Genomic DNA, 378 nt, shown 5'->3' with positions numbered 1-378 from the left:
GATCTGAAAGGCCATTTTATCATACACTAAATATTTTTGTGTGTTTGACTGGGTTTACCGTTCTGTTCCGTTGGCCTATCACATCGTTCTTACATTGGTATTTGTTGCCCTATTTTAATGATTGTAACTTTTTAATAAGGGTTAATGACTGAGAATACAAGTCCCATTGTTTTGTTTTATTATTTTTATTATTTTTTTGAGACAGGGTTTCACTCTGTCACCCAGGCTGGAGTATAGTAGCACTATCTCGGCTCATTGCAACCTCTGCCTCCCTGGTTCAAGTGATTCTCCCACCTCAACCTCCCGAGTAGCTGGGACTACAGATGCATGCCACCACACCCAGCTAATTCTTGTATTTTTAGTAGAGACAGGGTTTCA

This window comes from Homo sapiens, chromosome 15, assembly GCF_000001405.40.
Source record: "Homo sapiens chromosome 15, GRCh38.p14 Primary Assembly".
In the NCBI taxonomy this organism is placed as follows: domain Eukaryota; kingdom Metazoa; phylum Chordata; class Mammalia; order Primates; family Hominidae; genus Homo; species Homo sapiens.
This window is presented reverse-complemented; position numbering follows the sequence as displayed.